Here is a 20,110-nt window from a genome sequence, read left to right on the forward strand (position 1 = left end):
CCCAAAAGACTAAGACAGCAGCCGGGCACGGTGGCTCACACCTATAATACCAGCACTTTGGGAGGCAGGTGGATCACAAAGTCAGGAGATCGAGACCATCCTGGCTAACACAGTGAAACCCCGTCTCTACTAAAAATACAAAAAATTAGCCGGGTGTGGTGGCGGGCGCCTGTAGTCCCAGCTATTCGGGAGGCTGAGGAAGGAGAATGGTGTGAACCCGGGAGGCAGAGCTTGCAGTGAGCCGAGATCGCGCCACTGCACTCCAGCCTGGGCGACAGAGAGAGACTCCATCTCAAAAAAAAAAAAAAAAAAAAACAAAAGACTAACACAGCTACAGCTGAACCCACTTTCCCCATACAATGGATGTTTTTAACCATTTCAGACTTTTAAACTGTTTAGTTTATTTTTTACCTTTAGTAGAGATGGGGTTTTGCCATGTTGCCCAGACTTGTCTCGAACTCCTGGGCTCAAGTGATCCTCCTGCCTTGGCCTCCCAAAGTGTTGGGATTACAGGCGTAAGCCACCACACCTGACCTGTTTAGTTTTTAATTCTATTAATATATTAGTTTATCATATTTAGTGGGCTATTGGTTATGGATATAAATAACTAATTAAAAAGAAGCATAAAAATAAACCTGCAAATTTGCCTCAAGCTGATTGTTACCAGATTCTTGCATTTATCTGCTCCAAACTCATATCCAGATGTCACTAAGGCTGCAAAACCACGGCTGGAAGGAAAAAAAAGTAGACATGATGATCATATCTCATTTGGTTTTTCATATACTGAGAAGAAAGCCAACCTGCCCCTAAAGGTGTCATTTGTGAAAACTGTTTGCAAACAGCAGTCTGAACGCTTAATCTCATCATTTATAATAGAAACAGAATATGGCTGGTTGAGGTGGTTCATGCGTGCAATCCCAGCGGTTTGAGAGGCCAAGGTGGGCAAATTGCTTGAGTCCAGGAATTTGAGACCAATCTGGACAACATGGCAAAAACCTTTCTCTACAAAACAAACAAACAAACAAAAAACAAAACTTAGCAAGGTGTGGTGGCACATGCTTGTGGTCCTAGCTACACGGGAGGCTGAAAATGGGAGGATTGCTTGAGCCTGGGGGTGGAGGTTGCAGTGAGCAGAGATCACGCTACTGCACTCCAGCCTGGGCAACAGCGCAAGGCCCTATCTCTAAATAAATAAATAAATAAATAAATAAATAAATAAATAAATAAAAAGCTTGGTGTGATGGCATGCCCCTGCAGGACCAGCCACTTGGGAGATTGAGGCAGGAGGATCACTAGAGTCCGGGAGGTCACGGCTACAGTGAGCTATGACCACACCACTGCACTCGATCCTGGGTGACAGACAGAGACCCTGTCTCAATTAAAAAAGAAAAAGAAGGCCTGGCACGGTGGCTCACGCCTGTAATCCCAGCACTTTGGGAGGCCGAGGCGGCCGGATCACAAGGTCAGGAGATCGAGACCATCCTGGCCAACATGGTGAATCCCCGTCTCTACTAAAAATACAAAAATTAGCTGGGCATGGTGGTGCGTGCCTGTAATCCCAGCTTCTCGGGAGGCTGAGGCAGGAGAATCGCTTGAACCTGGGAGGCAGAGGTTGCAGTGAGCTGAGATCGTGTCACAGCACTTCAGCCAGCCTGGGCAACAGAGCGTGACTCCATCTCAAAAAAAAAAAAAAAGACAAAGAAACAGAATATAACATTAGAAACAAAAATAAACCTGTCGGGTTTTAAGAAGTATTATGAAGTATTTCAGACATATACTTACAATGTCAGGACACATAGATCCAGCTCCTTCTTTGAATTGCATTGGATTCTGTCTTATGAATGTACCATGATATCTGTAACCATTCATCCTGTTGCACACTGGAGTGCAACTGCTGGGTCCAAGGATGTGCATATATATCAGTGTGTAGATGGCCAAATTGTCCTAAGAGATTAAACCAATTTACACTCCCACCAGCAACGAACAATGGACTCCCTTTTCCCCACGCTCTCACCAACTCTGAATATAGCCATGGATCACTTAACAACCAGGATACGCACTGAGAAATGCATCGTTAGGTGATTTCATCCTTGTGTGAACATCACAGTGTACTTACACAAACAGAGGGTATAGCCCACCACACACACCTTGGCTATATGATATAACCTTTTGCTCCCAGGCTATAAACCTGTACAGCATGTACTACACTGAATACTGTAGGCAACTGTAACACAATGGTTTGTATTTGTGTATCTTAACATAGAAAAGGTATAGTAAAAATACAGTCTTATAATCTTATGGGACTGCTGTCTTATCTGAAGTCTGTTGCTGACTAAAACATCCTTATGCAGTGCATGATTATATCTTGCAATGTCTTAACTTTTGCCAATATGATGAGTAAAAAAATGACCCCTCATTTGTACTTTAACTTACATTATAATTTTTTGTGGTTAACTTTTATTTTCCTTTCTTTTTTTGGGGGCATGCAAGATCAGTGAGTTTTCTTTCTCTTCTGATGATGAAAGCCATTGCTCATTTTTATATTGCGTTTTCAGTTTGGTTGATTTGTAGAAGTTCTATCTTCTGGATTTTACTACTTTGTTTTTCTGGTTTTTGTTTTTGTTTTTTGAGACAGAGTCTCACTCTTGTCGCCCAGGCTGGAGTGCAGTGGAGCGATCTTGGCTCACTGCAACCTTTGCCTCCTGGATTTAAGCAATTCTCCTGCCTCAGCCTCCCGAGTGGCTGGGATTACAGGAGCGCACCACCATGCCCGGCTAATTTTGTATTTTTAGTAGGGATGGGGTTTCACCATGTTGGCCAGGTTGGTCTCGAATTCCTGACTTCAGGTGATCCACCCACCTGGGCCTCCCAAAGTGCTGGGATTACAGGCATGAGCCACCACGCCCGGCCTACTTTGCTTTTGTTTGTTTGTTTTTTGTTTTTGTTTTGAGATGGAGTCTTCCACTGTTGCCCAGGCCAGAGTGCAGTGGTGCGATCTCGACTCACTGCAACTTCCGCCTCCTGAGTTCAAGTGATTCTCCTGTCTCAGCCTCCCAAGTAGCTGGGACTACAGGCGTGTGCCACCATGCCCAGCTAATTTTTGTATTTTTAGTAGAGACGGGCTTTCACCATGTTGGTCAGGCTGGTCTTGAACTCCTAAACTCAGGCAATCCACCCGCCTTGGCCTCCTAAAGTGCTGGGATTACAGGTGTGAGCCACTGCGCCCGGCCTCCTAAGATGATGTCATTCTTTTTTGAGTGAGGTTTAAAAAAAAAATTGTGGTAAAACATAAGTAACACAAAAATTGCCTTTTTAACCATACTTTAATTTTTTATTTTTAAGAGACGGAGTCTCACTCTGTCATCCAGGCTAGAGTACAGTAGTATAGCCATGGCTCACTGCAGACTCGACCTCCTGGGCTCAAGTGATTCTCCTGCTTCAGCCTCTCAAGTAGCTGGGATGACAGGCGCATGCCACCACGCCCCCACTAATTTTTATATATTTTGTAGATATGGGGTTTTCCTGTGTTGCCCAGGCTGCTCTCAAACTCGTGGGTTCAAGTGATCCACCCACCTCAGCATCCCCAAGTGCTAGGATTATAGGCATGAGCCACTGTGCCTGGCCACTACTATTTCTAAAACTTTTTCATCACCCCAAACAGAAATTCTGTAAACATTAAGCAATATTTCCTCGTTCCTCTTTTCCCCCTAAGCCCTGGTAACCGCTAGTCTACTTTCTGTCTCCATTAGTTTGTCTATTCTATATATTTTATTTTTTTTAATTTTAATTTCTTTTTTTTTTTTTGAGATGGAGTCTCGCTCTGTCGCCCAGGCTGGAGTGCAATGGCACCATCTCGGCTCACTGCAACCTCTGCCTCCCAGGGTCAAGCGATTCTCCTGTCTCAGCCTCCTGAGTAGCTGGGATTATAGGCGTGCATCACCATGCCTGGCTAATTTTTGTATTTTTCATAGGGACAGGGTTTCACCATGTTGGCCAGGCTGGTCTCGAACTCCTGACCTCATGATCTGCCCACCTCGGCCTCCCAAAGTGCTGAGATTACAGGCGTGAGCCACTGCGCCCAGCCTTGTTTTATTTTTATTATTACTATTTTTTGGAGAACAAGTATCCCTCCATTGCCCAGGCTGGAGTGTAATGGTGTGATCTTGGTTTACTGCAACTTCCGCCTACTGGGTTCAAGCAATTCTCCTGCCTCAGCCTCCCTAGTAGCTGGGACTACAGGTGCCTACCAACACACCTGGCTAATTTTTGTATTTTAAGTAGAGATGGATTTTCACCATGTTGGCCAGGCTGGTCTTGAACTCCTGACCTCAGGTGATCCACCTGTCTCGGCCTCCCAAAGTGTTGGAATAACAGGCATGAGCCACTGAGCCTGGCTATTCTGTATATTTTATACAAGTGGATTTATAAATCTGTCCTTTTATGTCTAACTTATTTCACTTAGCATGTTTTCAAGTTTCATCCATGTTGTATGTATCAGAATTTCATGCTTTTTTATGGCTGAATAATATTTTGTTCTATGTACACACTCATTTTGCTTATCAATTCATCTGTTGATGGACACTTACATTGTTTCCACCTTTTGGATATTGTGAATAATGCTGCTATGAACATGGGTGTATGTCTTACTCTGATTCCTGAGGCTGGGTAATTTATAAAGAAAAGAGGTTTATTTGATTCACAGTTCTGCAGGTTGTACAAGAAGCATGCCACTAGCATCTGCTTCTGGTGAGGCCTCAGGCTGCTTCCACTCACTGTGGAAGGTGAAGGGGGGCCAGGGTGTGCAGAGATCACATGACAAGAGGGGAAGCAAGAGAGAGTGAGATGGGAGGGCCAGGCCCTTTTTTTGTTTTTTTCTGAGACAGAGTCTCCCTCTGTCACCCAGGCTGGAGTACAGTAGCGTGATCTTGGCTCACTGCAACCTCCACCTCCTGGGTTCAAGCGATTCTCATGCCTCAGCCTCCCAAGTAGCTGGGACTACATGCACTTGCCACCACACCTGGCTGATTTTTTTAAAATTTATTTTTTTGTATTTTTAGTAGAGATGGGGTTTCACCATGTTGGCCAGGCTGGTCTCGAACTCCTGACCTCAAGTGATCCACCCGCCTCAGCCTCCCAAAGTGCTGGGATTACAGGAGTGAGCCACTGCTCCAGGCCTCCAGGCCCTTTTTAAACAATCAGTTCTCTGGGAACTGATAAAGTAAGAACTCACCACTCCTGCCCACCCAGGGAGGGCATTATGTCTTCATAAGGTTTCTGCCCCCATGACCCAAGCACCTCCCATTAGGCCTAATACTGGGGATCCTATTTCAACATGAGATTTGCAGGGTACAAACATCCAAACTATAGCAGCATACAAATATCTGTTCAAGTCCCTGCTTTTGATTCTTTTGATCTTGTGGATATGAACCCAGGAATGGAATTGCTGGATCATATGATGGTTGTACGTTTAACCTTTTGAGAAACTTCCAAACTATTTTCCACATCAGCTGCACCACCAGCCATTCCCACCAGCAATGCATGAGGGTTCTATTTTCTCCACTTCCTCCCTGACACTGTTATTTTATTTTAAAAAAATTACAGCCATCTCAGTAGATATAAAGTGCTAGCTCATTGTGGTTTTTTATTTGCACTTCCCTACTGATGATGTTGAGCAATTTTTCACATGCTTATTGGCCATTTGTATATTTACTTTGAAGAAATGTCTATTTATTTATTTTTGAGACAGTGTCTCAATCCATCGCCCAGGCTGGAGTGCAGTGATGTGATCGCTGCTCACTGCAACCTCTGCCTCCCGGGTTCAAGCGATTCTCCTGCCTCAGCCTCCTAAGTAGCTGGGACTACAGGCAAGTGCCACCACACCCAGCTAATTTTTGTATTTTTAGTAGATATGGTGTTTCACTATGTTGGCCAGGCTGGTCTTCAGCTCCTGACCTCAGGTGATCTGCCCGCCTTGGCCTCCCAGTGTGCTGGGATTACAGGCATGAGCCACCGTGTCTGGCCTGAAGAAATGTCTACTTAAATCCTTTGCTTGGCCAGGTGTGGTGGCTCATATCTTTAGTCTCAGGAGGCTGAGGTGGGAGGATTGTTTGAGCCCAGGAGTTTGAGGTTACAATGAGCTATGATTGTGCCATCGCACTCTAGCCTGGAGAGCAGAGTGAGACTCTGTCCAAAAAAAAAAAAAAAAAAAGAGGAAGAAGCAAAGTGTAGAAGTGTGTAAATGCTACTCTTTTTCTGTGGGTTTTTTTTGTTTTAGACAAGGTCTCACTCTGTCACCCAGGCTGAGTGCAGTGGCATGGTCACAGCTCAATGCAACCTCTGCCTCCTGAGCTCAAGTGATCCTCCCACCCCAGCCTCTGGAGTAGCTGGGACTACAGGCATGTGCCACCATGCCTGGCTAAATTTTGTATTTTTAGAAGAGACAGGGTTTCGCCATGTTGCCCAGGCTAGTCTCAGACTCCTGGGCTCAAGTGATCTGCTCGCCTCAGCATCCCAAAGTGCAGGGATTACAGGCGTGAGCCACTGTGCCTGTTCCCCTTTGTGTTTTATGTGTCGTATATGCATAAATATTTCTGGAAGTATACACTCTGTAGTGTTAGTGGTGATGCTTTTAGAGGAGGAGACTGGGAAAGTGGTGTGTGTTAGCCACAGTGATGTATCCACACCCATTTCTCTTTTCCAGGGACTATGGAAAGACTACATTTCTCAACCTTCCTAGTAGATGTGATGTCACCAGTCGGAATTGGGCAGAAGAATGTATCACTTCAGTCCAAGGCAATTAAGTGTTAGTGTCAATCTTTTCCCTCTCCCCTACCCCAATCTGAGCAGTTGGAATCAAATAACTGAGATTATGGTGATGTCAGAAGGATTTAAGTCCCTGCTGGGGGAGAACAGCACACCATCATTGTCTAATGTGGGATGAGTAAGAAATAAGCCTTTGTTGTTTTAAGCGACTGAGATTTGGAGTTTTATTTAGTATCCACATGTGGTGGATTAAAGATGGCCAGACTTTTTTGACATTCCTTTTTTAATTTTTTTTTGAGACAGTCTCATTCTGTCACCCAGGCTGGAATGCAATGGCACAATCTCGGCTCACTGCAAACTCCACCTCCTGGGTTCAAGCGATTCTCCTGCCTCAGCCTCCTGAATAGCTGGGATTACAGGCGTGCGCCACCACATCCGGCTAATTTTTGTATTTTTAGTAGAGACGGGGTTTCACCACGTTAGTCAGGCTGGTCTCAAACTCCTGACCTCAGATGATCCGCCCGCCTTGACCTCCCAAAGTGCTGGGATTACAGGTGTGAGCCATCGTGCCTGGCTTGACATTCCTTTCATTGAAGGCTGGGGCCTATGTCCCCTCTCCTTCAATCTGGGCTGGTCCGTGACTGCTTTGGTTAATAGAATGCAGAGGAAGTGATGTGTTCTAATTTCAGGGTCAAACCGTAAGAGACTGGCAGCTTTCATACTGTTGGATGCATGTTTTGGGATGCCTCCCTCTCAGAATCTAGCCACCATGTTCTGAGAAACCTAAGCCATGTGAAGGGGCCACATGTAGGTGCTTTGGTTTGCAGCTCCGACCCTCTAGCCAATAGATGGCATCTCCTGCCAGCCAAATGAGTGAGCCATCAACAGTAACCTGCCCAGCTGAGTCTTCAGGTAACTCCAGTCCTGGTGTGATCGCAGTCACATAAGCCATTCAAAGTAAGAATCACCAGTTGAGTTCAGCCAACAGTCATGGGCAATATTAGAAATCACTGTACTGCCAGGTGCGGTGGCTCACGCCTGTAATCCTAGCACTTTGGGAGGCTGAGGCGAGCAGATTGCCTGAGCTCAGGAGTTTGAGACCAGCCTGGGCAACGTGGTGAAACCCTGTCTCTACTAAAATACAAAAAATTAGCCAGGTGTGGCAGCGTGTGCCTGTAGTCCCAGCTACTCGGGAGGCTGAGGCAGGAGAATTGCTTGAATCTGGGAGGCGGAGGTTGCAGTGAGCCCAGATTGCCAAGATCATGCCACTGCACTCCAGACTGGGAGACAGAGCGAGACTCCATCTCTGGAAGAAAAAAAAAAAAAAAGAAATCACTGTAACCACAGACCAGCCTGTCCTATCCTGATCAATATGAAGGTGTGAGGCAAACAGGCTCACTTTTGTACTATTTCAATTCTTTGCTATGTGCATGTGATTGGTTTTCCAATTTAAAAAATAGCTACTTTTTTTTTTTTTAAACTGAGTCTTGCTCTTTCGCCCAGGCTGGAGTGCAATGGCACGATCTCAGCTCACTGCCACTTCTGCCTCCCAGGTTCAAGTGATTCTCCCCGCTCAGCCTCCCAAGCAGCTAGGATTATAGGCACCTGCCACCACTCCCGGCTAATTTTTGTATTTTTAGTAGAGACGTGGTTTCACTATGTCGGCCAGGCTGGTCTCGAACTCCTGACTTCAGGTGATCCACCGCCTCGGACTCCCAAAGTGCTGGGATTACAGGCGTGAGCCACTATACCCAGCCAAAAAATAGCTACATTTTTTATTTCAAAACTTCTAAGCACTGGACCATGCAAACTTTGGTTTTTTCTTTTTGATACACAGCAACAGCAATTTATTTACGGATTACCTACTCAGTTGGTGCCAAGCCTGGTTCTAGATGCTGAAGACAGAGCCTAGATCAAGATTGACTTGGTCCTGGCTTTCCTGAAGTTCCCAGCCTGGTAGAAGAGACATAATAAACAACTAGCAAACACAGAAATGTGATTCTTTCTGGGAGTATTAGGTGCTCTGAAAGGAAGAACAAGGGTGATGTGATAGACGCTGATTGGGATGGGAGCTTTTTCAGATTGGATGACAGGAAAGGTCTTCTGAAATCTGCCTGGTATGTAGGAGCTAGCCTCTAAAAGTTGTGGAGGAAGAGCACTAGGAGAGGGGTGCAGCCAGGGCAAAGCCTCCAAGGTGGGGCTAAGCTTGGCAGTGGGATTTCAGTGCAGTGAATAAGGCTAAAGAGTAGGAAGAGGTAAGATCAGTGATGTGGGCAGGGGCCAGATCAAGCAGGGCCTTGAAGGCCATGGTAAAGGGTTTGGTATTTGCTTTGACTATGCTGGAGAGCCTTTCAAGGGTTTTAAGCAAGAGGAACTTGAGATGACTTAAGATTTTTGTTTTTGTTTTTGAGACAGTCTTGTTCTGTTGCTCAGGCTGGAGTGCAGTGGCGCAATCTTGGCTCACTGAAACCTCTGCTTCCTGGGTTCAAGTGATTCTCCTGCCTCAGCCTCCCAAGTAGCTGGGATTACAGGCGTGCGCCACCATGCCTGGATAATTTTTGTATTTTTAGTAGAGACGGGGTTTCTCCATGTTGGTCAGGCTGGTCTCAAAGTCCCGACCTCAGGTGATCTGCCCACCGTGGCCTCCCAAAGTGCTGGGATTACAGGTGTGAGACACCGTGCCTGGCCTGATTTAAGTTTTTGAACAATCACTCTGGCTTCTGGGAGATGCCTAACCCAGGTGCACTTTTTTTTTTTTTTTTTTTTTTTTTTTTGAGATGGAGTCTCGCTCTGTCACCAGGCTGGAGTGCAGTGGTGCGATCTCAGCTCATTGCAACCTCTGCCTCCCGGATTCAAGCAATTCTCTGCCTTAGCCTCCTGAGTAGTTGGGATTACAGACGCCCACCACCAAGCCTGGCTTTTTTTTGGGTATTTTTAGTAGAGATGGGGTTTCACTATGCTGGCCAGGCTGGTCTTGAACTCCTGACCTTGTGATCCACCTGCCTTGGCCTCCCAAAGTGCTGGGATTACAGGTGTGAGCCACCGTGTCTGGCCTCCCAGGTGCAAATTTTAAATTACATTTTAAGTACTTTAGGGCCAGGTGCAGTAGCTCATGCCTGTAATGCTAGCACTTGGGATGCCAAGGCAGGAGGATTGCTTGAGCCCAGGAATTAGAGACCAGCCTGGGCAACATAGTGAGACCTTGTCTTTACAAGAAAAATTTAAAATGAGCTGGGCGGCTGGGCACGGTGACTCACACCTGTAGTCCCAGCACTTTGGGAGGCTTGAGGCGGGTGGATCACTTGAGGTCAGGAGCTGGAGATCAGCCTGGCCAACATGGTGAAACCCTGTCTCTACTAAAAGTACAAAAATTAGCTGGGTGTGGTGACGCATGCCTGTAATCCCACCTATTCGGAAGGCGGATGCATGAGAATCGCTTGAACCCGGGAGGAGGCGGTTGCAATGAACCGAGATTGTGCCACTGCACTCCAGCCTGGGTAACAGAGACTCTGTCTCAAAAAACAAAACAAAACAAAACAACAACAAAACCAGCGATAGTGGCATGTGCCTGTAGTCTCAGCTACTCGGGAGACTGAGGTGGAAGAATCATTTAATCCCAGGAGGATGAGGCTGCAGTGAGCCATGATTGGGCCACTGCACTCCAGCCTGGGCAACAGAGAGAGACCCTGTCTCAAAAACAAAACAGAACAAAAAAAGTGAAGTACTTTAGGTCCCCAGATTATGGTATAACATTTTTTTATATTTATTGGTCAAATCATATATCTCTTACATAAATAATTTGAGATACATTAAACAGCAAGTTAAATGTAAAAAGCAGAAATTTGTCTCCATATATTATCTAAAATTTTATTTCAAGTGATCTTTATAATACAATCTTTCATATTCTAAAAATAGAACATGAATATTTTTAGTCAAAATCAATCACTTCTTTATCATATACTACTCAAAAATGACTATTTATTTAACATTTCCTAGGTGTATTTTGTGAGTCAAAAAAGGATTAGGAAACCCCTGCCCCAATATGGCTCCTTACCTGAGAGAAACGGCATCTCTGCACCTCACAGCCAGGCCAAGCCCTGTTAATATACTCTCCCATGCACACAGCCAGAGTTCCTTATTTATATAGTGTCTCCAAGCACCCAAGAGTCCGCCAGTTCTAAAGGGAATTCATCACTGTCATCAGCTGGCCCTGGGTCTCCATGGGTACTGTGCCTGTCTCCTGGGCATGGCTTTTGCTGAACGTTACCACCCATCTTCAACACAAATACTCCTTCAAGAGACAGGTCAGGCCTGGTTTGGGGCTAGAGGTACAGAGACATCTAGGACCCAGGTCCTGCCCTAAGGGGCACCGCACAGATTACAGGATGGTGTGATAACTGGTGACGGTTATAACTCGAACTCAACTGGGGCTGGTGTCTGAGAAGCTTGAACTCAGTGTAGGGGCAGGAAAGTTCTCCTGGAGGAGGTGATGCATGATTAGGAGCCAGGCCCCCTAGAGGCGACGATGTTCCAAACATCAGGCTCGGCCTGTGCAAAGGCCATGGGCGTCTAAGACAATGACATGTGGGGGACTGAGCCCAGCTCACTGGAAGCAGAGCAGGCTACACTGACCTGGGGGCGTCTAGGCCTTCACTGCTTTCTACGTCCTCTGACCCATCCCCATCAGAATCTCAACAGACTCGTCACCTCCAGGGCCTGCACTGCTCTCCCATCGTTGCCCAACTTCTCTCGTTCCCTAGGGATGTTCAAGTCTGCCAACACTCAGAGGGCAGGGCCTGCTGGCATGCCCCAGGGTGAGGCTGTGCCCAGCGAGTCCCTCCTTTCGTGTCTCACAGTAGCCTGAGCCTGCAGAGCTGGCTCTCTAGCATCTAGCTAGAGACGGTTTGACCACAGTTCCCTGCGACCCATGATTCACTTTCGAGGGTACCCACAAGAGATGTGTCTGCTCCTCCAGACGCCGCCCAATGGGGTGAAGCGTCTGGCCCTGAGTCAGGATGCTGGGGTGCTGGCCGTCTCAGCTACCCACTCCTTTGCAACCCCAGGCAAGCAAGCTCGTTCTCTCCTCCCGGCCAGGGGCTTTCTAGATGAAATCAGCTGCACCCCTTTACTCTCAGGGACCTAAAATTTCGGCGACCATGTGGAGCCGTAAACCCTTCTGCCTCCTGTCCTCCCAGCCCCGCACCCACCTGGCGTTTTCGTGTCACGGAACCTCTGCACGTGCTCTTCTCGAGGCCTAGAGTCCCTCTCTCCCTCTGGCCAACTCCTATTTCATCCCTCACAGACCCAACTCGAACGCCATCATCCCCGGAAAGCGGGGATTCCTCCCTTCAGTCTCTGCTTCCTTATCTTGCTGTCCTGCTGCGCCGCGCCCTCAGTGTACGCGCAGAGCCCGGGGCTGAGGGCCTCTGGGTCCCTGGCTGGGTGCGCGGCCAGGAGCGCGACGGCCTGGGAAGCACCAGCGGCTCTCGAACTCGGCCCGGGCGCGGCGGGGTTAAGACACCCGGGCCTTGAGGGCCCCGCCTCCGGAGCGCTCCACCCGCGTGGGGGAAGCCTCCCCGGAGGCTCCGACCTCGCTCCTGCTTATGACCCTCGCAGCCACAGGAGCCCCCACTTAGGTGAACATTTCGGACGGGGCCCCGGCGGTTCAGACCCGGAGGCGGCTCCTCCCGGAGGCAGATCCTCCCGGCGTCGGCCTTCGGTCCTCCCCGCCAAAGCCCTCTTGGGACAAGCCGGGGATTCCCCGCCGCCGCCCGCCCCCTGGCGTCACGGAGTCCCCGCGAGGCCCCGCCCCGGCCTGGCGCCGTCCTGGGCGGGAGGAACGCGCCGCTAGGCGGGAGAGCGCGGCCATGGCGGGGCCGGGCGTCCCCGGTGCCCCCGCAGCGCGCTGGAAACGCCACATCGTGCGGCAGCTGCGGCTTCGGGACCGTACGCAAAAGGCGCTTTTCCTGGAGCTGGTGCCGGCCTGTGAGTGCGCCCCGGTGCTGAGAGGATGGCGGCTGAGGGGACGCGGCTACGGGCGCGGGGAGAGGGTTTGGCTGGCTCCTCCGCCTGTGACCCGAGTGCGCTGTGCCTTATGCCTTGAGCCTGTGCGTTACGCCCATCCCGACTGCCAGGACTCCGCCCCTTGCCATCCAGGCTCTGGTTAGAACCTGGACGAGCCCCTCCTGGTCCCCCTGCCCTCGTCGCCCCTCAGGACGGGCTCTGCCTCCCACAAGCTGGGCTTCCGAGACGCAAGTGCGTCCTCGGGTGTTGGTTTTGCAGGGTCTCTTTTGCCTCCCCACCCGGGCAGTCCCCGGGGTAGGGGCTTGATCAGTGCACTTAGTCTCGGTAGCGCAGTGAAAGAACGCGGGACTTGTCCAGAGCAGCCACTTATTGGCCCATCCGGAGAGGGGCGACACTCGGAACCTCTAAGGAGGAGGCTGTGCATCTCAGGCTCTGCCGCTGACAGGCGACGCTGGCACAGGCTTATGGAACACCTCCCTGTCAGCCTACCCAGCCTGAGGGGGCATCAGGGGGCCCCGGGCTGCTGGTGGATGCTGGCTGAGCCCAGCGAAGTCGGACTCTCAGAATTGTTTCTGGGCAGCTGGTCAGGATAGGGTGTGGCATTTCAAGAGGGGATGAACAGGTGTGCCTGTGTGTCGCACCTCTGGCCGCCTGCGATTGTATGTCTGTGGTTGGAAGTCTAACCACAATCCCTGCGGCTCTCTCACTGGGGCTAATCTTGGCCAAACCCCCACAATCAAATCTGCTCTTAGCCAGGAAAATTTCTCTGCAAGCTTCCAGGCTGCTGGTCCTCTACCTTCAGGGTTGCGAGGCCAGCCCCCACCTCCAGCAGCCACACTTCTCCACTGCTCAGACAGACAGTGGAACCGTCCAGTTTGAGGGAGGGGGTCACCGCCCCCCCAACCCCTGCCCCCCGCCCCGACCCAGGGAGCTGTGAGTCTGAGGGACTAGAGAGATCTGGAGGGCTGAAATCAGACTGAAGGGCCAGTCTTGAAACCTTGGGCAGATCACATCGCTAAGCCTCAGTCTTCTTACTTGTTAATTGGGTATAGAGACCTTCTTTAGGTTTGCTGGGTGCTGCAGTACCCTGGGGGCTGAGGTGGGGTTTTCATGAGAACTAGGCCAGGCCCAGGGCCTCAGTCAAGGTGACAGGGCACTGAGTGTGGGAAGGAAGTTGATGAGGAGGGAGCTAGGCCCGGACTTACCACCCCACCCTCCCCTGGAACTGGTGAGAAAAGAGGAAGTGACTGTTGATGGGGGAGGGTGTTCCAGGGTCAAACCACCAACCTCCAGAATGTCGGCTGGATAATTGCTCAAGGACTTTCTATTCTGGCCTGGGGGTACCTTACACCAGGGCTGGGGAAGTTGGGATTATTTATTTATTTATTTATTTGAGATGGAGTCTTTGCTCTGTTGCCCAGGCTGGAGTGCAGTGGTGTGATCTCCGCTCACTGCAAGCTCTGCCTCCCAAGTTCACGCCTGTCTCCCGTCTCAGCCTCCCGAGTAGCTGGGACTACAGGCGCCTGCCACCACGCCTGGCTAATTTTTTGTATTTTTTAGTAGAGATGGGGGTTTCACCGTGTTAGCCAGGATGGTCTCGATCTCCTGACCTCGTGATCCGCCCGCCTCGGCCTCCCAGAGCGCTGGGAATTCAGGTGTGAGCCACCGCGCCCGGCTGGGGATTATTTTTAAGTGCAGAAAGCTAGAGCCCTTGGAGGGGAAGTGACTTGCCAAAGGCCATTGACAGGTAGAGCTCGGTTTATTTCATCACTTTCTGGGGCTAAGCCTTGCTCTGAGGCAGGGATGAATCAATCCCAGGCCCCTTCCTTCCCTCAGGACCCTCAGCGGGCAGTACCCCGCAGTGGTCATCCTTCTGTCCCTGGGAGAGCAGGTCCTCTTCCACGTGGGCCTGGGGACCGGTGCTATGAGGACACTGCTAGGGCTGAAGGTCCTGTAGAACTGCACAGATGCCCCTCAGGCACAGGGCAGAGGCCAGCCTGCCAGAAGCTTCCCCATCCCTAGCATCTCTGGGCTCCTTCAGCCCTTTTAGCCGGAGATAAATTGCATGCCAGGGGGCTGCTGGGTATCTGTCTCTGCCCCAGGCTCACTCTCTTGCACTCTCCAGATAACCATCTCTTAGAGAAGGCTGAGCTGCTGGACAAGTTCTCAAAGAAGCTGCAGCCGGAGCCAAACAGTGTCACTCCCACCACCCACCAGGGCCCCTGGTAAGTGTATGTGGGTCCGTGGTCACAAAGGGCTGCCTGTGCTGGGGCCCTGCCCCTGCTGCCTGTGCTGGGTTCATTCTCTCCCTAGTGCCTCATCAGCCCTTGGCTGCTGCCCAGGGGTGGTGGGGGTGGTGGAGGTGGTGGGGGTGGTGGGGGAGGCAGGCCCTTGGCCTTCCCACAGGACAGCTGTTTAGAATCTCTTTCCCCTCCACCTTTCTTTGTCCATCTCTCTGCATTTGTCCCATCTCCTTCCCGTCCCACCCCTATACTTATGTCTTTTCCCTTTCTCAGTCTTTTTCCATTTCCCTGTTCCTTGCCTGATGCCTAAAGAAAGGGTCTTGCTACCTGTTGCAAAGAGGGAGTAAAGATGAGAACCAGGAATAGGTTGGGGCTCAGAGTTGGGAGGTGCTTTGCTTTTTTTTTTTTGAGACGGAGTCTGGCTCTGTCACCCAGGCTGGAGTGCAGTGGCGTGATCTCAGCTCACTGCAACCTCTGCCTCCTGGGTTCAAGCAATTCTCCTGCCTCAGCCTCCTGGAACGTGCACCACCACCCCCGGCTAATATTTGTATTTTTAGTAGAGACGGGGTTTCACCATGTTGGCCAGGATGGTCTCGATCTCTTGATCTTGTGATCCTTCCACCTCGGCCTCCCAAAGTGCTGGGATCACAGGTGTGAGCCACCACGCCTGACTGGGAGGTGCTTCTTGAGAAGGGTCCTTGGCCAAGGCCTAGGGGAATCTTAGAGCAGAGGAGTCATGGACAGCTCATTTCTAGAGACTTGCCTTTTCCTTTACTGGCTTGCTGGCTTCCATCTTCCCAGGACGAAGTTAATGGCTCTTGTTTTAGGCTTTTCATGTAGCATCACTTGGGTGCCTTTGGGCACTTGGGTGAACCGGGGGACATTGAGCACCACTCTGATTGGTTGGCAGGGAGGAGTCAGAGCTTGACTCAGACCAAGTCCCATCACTGGTCGCACTGAGGGTGAAGTGGCAGGAGGAGGAGGAGGGGCTCCGGCTGGTCTGTGGTGAGGTAAGTTGGGAAGGGGTCTGAAAATGGGGTAGAGAGATGTGGTCCAAGGGAGCCAGCCAGTGACGGGTACTCCTGTGTTTGCTGAATTCTCCAAGCCCAGTGCTGCAAGCATTGAGTGAGCCCTAGTGTGTGCCAGGCCCTGACCTGAAGCTGAGCAGGGGTCAGAGTGCCCTGGGCAGCCCAGGATGAAGTGGGCTCCAACAGCAGCTGGAGGGAGTTAGGTGTGCAAGGGCCTGGCAGCCCATTTCCCTTCCACATGGTTTAGCCTGCTCTGCTCACTACTCCATGGCTCACCCCTCGCCCAGCCATCCCCAAGGCCTAGCACCAGTTGATGCTCAATATACATTTGCAGACTACAGAAGTTAGGTTCATTTAGCGCATTGGCAGAGTGTGGACGCTCCACCTGACACTACCGCCTTCCCTGCCCCTTTGCAACAGTGTCTCTTGGCTTCTCTTTCACCATGCTCTCCTGGTTTCCCTCTCATTTCTGTGATTGTTGCCTCTGAACTTCCTTCACTGGCTCCTTCCCCTCCTCCCTATTCCTGTCCCTTCAAATGTGGGTGTTCTTGGGGTTCACTGACCCCCGTTTTTTCTGTTTGCCAACTCTCAGTTCTGTCTCTAGCCGAGCCTTCTTTTCTGAGCTTGACTCTCTTGCTCAGCTGCTTTTTGGAGATCACATCTAAAATCAGGCTCACCATCTCCCCCAGAATTTGGCCCACACCGTTTTGAGAGTTGACTCCTTGCAGGCATCGGGCTAAACATTGTCTCAGTTAATCCTTCACAACTTTATGGTTGTAGAGGAGGAAACTGAGGCTTGGAGAGGTAGAGCCAGGATTTGAGCCCTTCTCACACAAATCAACTTCTGTGCTCTCCATTCATTCTCTCAACATCTGTTGACAGTTGCTATATCCAAAGTACGGGGAGTGCAACAATAAACAAGACCTGGCCCCATGGGGCTTCCAGTCCTCTGAAAGAGACTGTGATAGCCCAGGAAATACACATCCAGTCACAGAATGGCAAGTCACCTGCCCAACAGAAATGCGGGCATAGGTACGGACTCATTTGAGAACCTTTCCCTAGAGCTGCTGTTGTAGGTCCAATTTAATATTTGTTTGAGAGGTGATTCTCAAACATCTGACCCCCACACCACCCCCAGCCTCTGGGCTGTGAGCTCCCCAAGCCCTGGGATGTCTTCGTTTGCCTCCGAGGCAAACCTATATCCTTAGGGCCTGTGTCCACAGTCCATTCCATACTAATGACTATTTGTAGACTAAGCGATGAATGAGGTGGGCTGTCCTTCCTGTCTTCCTGTGACTGCCCCCCAGTCGTTCTCACACATGCTGGAAATGCAGGGGCACCTCTGACTCTTCCCAGCCCTCCATCCTGAGCTGGTCACAAGCTCATGTTGACTCTATCTCCAAATCCATCAATGTCTCTCTGTTTCTTGCACCATATCTGACATAGTACAAGTAACTTTCATCCTGCCCTGGAACACTCCTTTAGCACTCCCTGTCCCTTCTCCATACAGCTTTCAGAGTGACATATTTTAATTAAAAAAAAAGAAAGATCTCCATTAAAGACAAGCAATACACAAAACATGCTTGTAAACAAGTCAAGAGAATAGAAGCCATAGAGTAAAAAGTAAAAGCCCGTCTTACTACCTCTGTCCCCATGGTTAGTGCGCTGTAGATCTTCCAAAGCTCCTAGCCTGGCTCCCCCGTCGAGCTCCCCAGGCTCTTGTCGCATTTCCTGCCACGCTCATCTCTGAGCTCCCAGCTCCCTTTGCCTGAGATACTTTCCCTGGCCCCCAGCACTCCTTCCCAGGACACACACCAGCCAGTACCCATTGGATGCGCCAGAGGATGGGGGCAGTGAGGAGGCTTTTTCTTTTCTTTCTTTTTTTTTTTTGAGACGGAGTCTCACTCTGTTGCCCAGGCTGGAGTACAGTCGCGTCATCTCGGCTCGCTGCAACCTCAGCCTCCCGGGTTCACGCCATTCTCCTGCCTCAGCCTCCCGAGTAGCTGGGACTACAGGCGCCCGCCACCATGCCCGGCTAATTTTTTGTATTTTTAGTAGAGATGGGGTTTCACCATGTTAGCTAGGATGGTTTTGATCTCCTGACCTCGTGATCCACCCACCTTGGCCTCCCAAAGTGCTGGGATTACAGGCGTGAGCCACGGCACCCGGCCTTTTCTTTTCTTTTGTAAAAATTTCTCTAGTAGTTCCACACATCACAAGCATTTATCATTATTATTAACTTTTTATTTTAAAATAATTATAGATTCACAGGAAGTTGGAAGGATAGTCCAGAGTTCCTGCATCCCCTTCCCCCAGCATCTCCTGCTGGCTACATCTTACATAACTATAGTACCCACAACCAGGAAACTGGGATTGGTATGAAGTGTGTATATGTCCTTTGTCATTTTATCACGTGTAGATTTGTGTAACCATCAAGATATGGCACTGTTTCACCACTGCAAAGATCTCTTTCTTATTACCCCTTTTTAGTCACATTCACCCCTCTCCCCCCAACCATCCCTAACCCCTGGCAAGTACTAATCTGTTTTCCACTTCTACTACTTGAATTTTGAAAGGCATACAATAAAATATTGAATGGTACAACACAACATAAATGAAAGCAAGTGACAAGTGAGAAAGTGGAGGTGGTGATCAGATTGCTCAGTGGTGAAAAGAATTATGTTATAAATGGGGCCAACTATGAATAAAGGTGCCCCAACCCGCATGTGCAGATTCCTTCTTCGCAGACTCACTCACATAGCGCGTCATGTCAGTGCAGGTGGCAGCGCCAACCGTGCTCCTCAGTCTGTCCTCACCAGGCCCACGTGAGAACACAGGAACAGATTAGCAACAAGAGCCCCCAGCCTTGGCCTGGGCCAGAGGCGCCTCTGGCCCTCATGTTCTCTTGTCACACTGGTGGGAGCTGCCTTGCCTGGGGTCTGTCTCTCCCACCGACCCTGCTTGGCTCTGGGTTGAAGGCATGACGAGTGAGGCGGGAGTGCAGATGAAATGACCCTCACCCACTCTCCTGGGCTGCCAGCGCTGTTCCCATATTGAGTCTGGGCCCTGGCTCCCCGAGTCCATGCCTGATCTTAGCCTTGTGTGCCTCTGCGCAGGGCCTCTCGCTGCTGAGACCTGTGCTTGGGCAGGCCTGGGTTGGGTGAGGCCAGGAAGCCAGCAGGGAGGGGTGGGGAACAGAACTCACATTCCCCTGACCAGCCTGGAGGGTGATGCAGTTAGGTAGGTGGCTTGTGCCCAAATCTCTTAGCTACGTGACTTTGGGCAAGACACTTAAACCTCTCTGTCGGTGTCCTTGTCTGTGAAGTGAGAGTGGCAGTACCAGCCTCCTGGTGTGGTGAGGATGGAAGGAGCGTGTAGCCTGCTGGGAACATCATGGCGCCCGAGGGCCGGATGGGCATTTGGCAGCCTCTGCGCGAGGAGTCCTCGCAGTGGTTATGCATGGTGCTGGGAGCGGAGCGCTGGCTTCCCACTCTTCAGGCGAGGCAGTGGAGCGGGTTGCTCTTGCCAGAGAGGTTCCTAGTAGGGTCGCAGAGAAACGAAGCGGCACGGCGAGGATTGGGACCCAGGGCTGACTCCAGAGCCCGAGGGCCTTCCACTGCTCCACAAACAGCAGCGCGTCCCTGTGCAAGGTCCCAAACCTGTGTGGGGCTCAGCTTGCTTTTCAGGAAGGGGGCGGGCAGGTGAGCAGCCGACTCCCTTAGCGCCTTCGGCCCCGGAGGGACTGGAGGCCTGGAGGGGCCTCAGCGCCGCCGTGCCCACCTGTCCGCCCCCAGATGGCCTACCAGGTGGTGGAGAAGGGCGCGGCCCTGGGCACGCTGGAGTCGGAGCTGCAGCAGAGGCAAAGCAGGTGAGGCGCGGGCGGGGGCGGGAGGGACCGCGCCCACCTCAGGGAGGCCCGGGGCCAACTATACGGGAGGCGGGGGGAATGGCGCGGGCCGAGATCTTTCCCTACGTCCCCCCGACCCCATCGGTTGGTGCCAGAGGACCGAACGGCTGGGCTCTGAGGGCGAAGGCTTGGGGGAGACCTGGCTT

At 50.7% G+C, this 20,110-nt stretch overlaps 1 protein-coding gene and 1 long non-coding RNA gene across 12 annotated transcripts in view, besides 6 other annotated features; one reads left to right on the forward strand and one right to left on the reverse strand.

Moving 5' to 3' along the window:
* Positions 1-491: 491 nt before the first annotated feature.
* On the reverse strand, positions 492-12,251 carry LOC107984421 (uncharacterized). 2 transcript variants are annotated; one of them, XR_007062771.1, is made up of 3 exons: positions 10,817-12,251; positions 1,783-1,944; positions 492-728 (listed from the first exon to the last, which is right to left on the reverse strand). It is a non-coding gene; the product is annotated as an uncharacterized LOC107984421 (long non-coding RNA). The 2 variants fall into 2 exon arrangements; XR_001748490.3 differs by lacking the exons at positions 492-728; positions 1,783-1,944 and adding an exon at positions 6,959-8,715.
* Positions 6,060-6,129: a silencer, noted in NCBI's record as "silent region_3729". NCBI's record gives its function as "represses an Ori minimal core promoter by ATAC-STARR-seq in GM12878 lymphoblastoid cells {active_cell/tissue: GM12878}" and the evidence as "EXISTENCE:reporter gene assay evidence [ECO:0000049][PMID:35858748]".
* Positions 10,858-10,917: an enhancer, noted in NCBI's record as "active region_5207". NCBI's record gives its function as "activates an Ori minimal core promoter by ATAC-STARR-seq in GM12878 lymphoblastoid cells {active_cell/tissue: GM12878}" and the evidence as "EXISTENCE:reporter gene assay evidence [ECO:0000049][PMID:35858748]".
* Positions 11,078-11,207: an enhancer, noted in NCBI's record as "active region_5208". NCBI's record gives its function as "activates an Ori minimal core promoter by ATAC-STARR-seq in GM12878 lymphoblastoid cells {active_cell/tissue: GM12878}" and the evidence as "EXISTENCE:reporter gene assay evidence [ECO:0000049][PMID:35858748]".
* Positions 11,748-11,837: a silencer, noted in NCBI's record as "silent region_3730". NCBI's record gives its function as "represses an Ori minimal core promoter by ATAC-STARR-seq in GM12878 lymphoblastoid cells {active_cell/tissue: GM12878}" and the evidence as "EXISTENCE:reporter gene assay evidence [ECO:0000049][PMID:35858748]".
* Positions 12,238-12,687: a silencer, noted in NCBI's record as "silent region_3731". NCBI's record gives its function as "represses an Ori minimal core promoter by ATAC-STARR-seq in GM12878 lymphoblastoid cells {active_cell/tissue: GM12878}" and the evidence as "EXISTENCE:reporter gene assay evidence [ECO:0000049][PMID:35858748]".
* Positions 12,595-20,110, forward strand: part of ATG16L2 (autophagy related 16 like 2) — a 29,330-nt gene continuing 21,814 nt past the window's right edge. For 7 of the 10 annotated variants that reach the window (XM_005274376.6, XM_047427840.1, NM_033388.2 and 4 more), the window contains exons 1-4: positions 12,595-12,747; positions 14,912-15,011; positions 15,940-16,039; positions 19,852-19,925. In XM_005274376.6, coding sequence (XP_005274433.1) covers positions 12,630-12,747; positions 14,912-15,011; positions 15,940-16,039; positions 19,852-19,925 — 392 coding nt within the window. In that variant the 5' untranslated portion in view covers positions 12,595-12,629. Of the gene's footprint in view, positions 12,748-14,423; positions 14,442-14,911; positions 15,012-15,939; positions 16,040-19,382; positions 19,926-20,110 lie in introns of those variants that run through there. The other 3 variants (NM_001318766.2, XM_011545334.2, XM_011545333.2) reach the window with 3 other exon arrangements.
* Positions 13,218-13,367: an enhancer, noted in NCBI's record as "active region_5209". NCBI's record gives its function as "activates an Ori minimal core promoter by ATAC-STARR-seq in GM12878 lymphoblastoid cells {active_cell/tissue: GM12878}" and the evidence as "EXISTENCE:reporter gene assay evidence [ECO:0000049][PMID:35858748]".

The sequence above is a fragment of the Homo sapiens genome, chromosome 11, assembly GCF_000001405.40.
Source record: "Homo sapiens chromosome 11, GRCh38.p14 Primary Assembly".
NCBI classification, from domain to species: domain Eukaryota; kingdom Metazoa; phylum Chordata; class Mammalia; order Primates; family Hominidae; genus Homo; species Homo sapiens.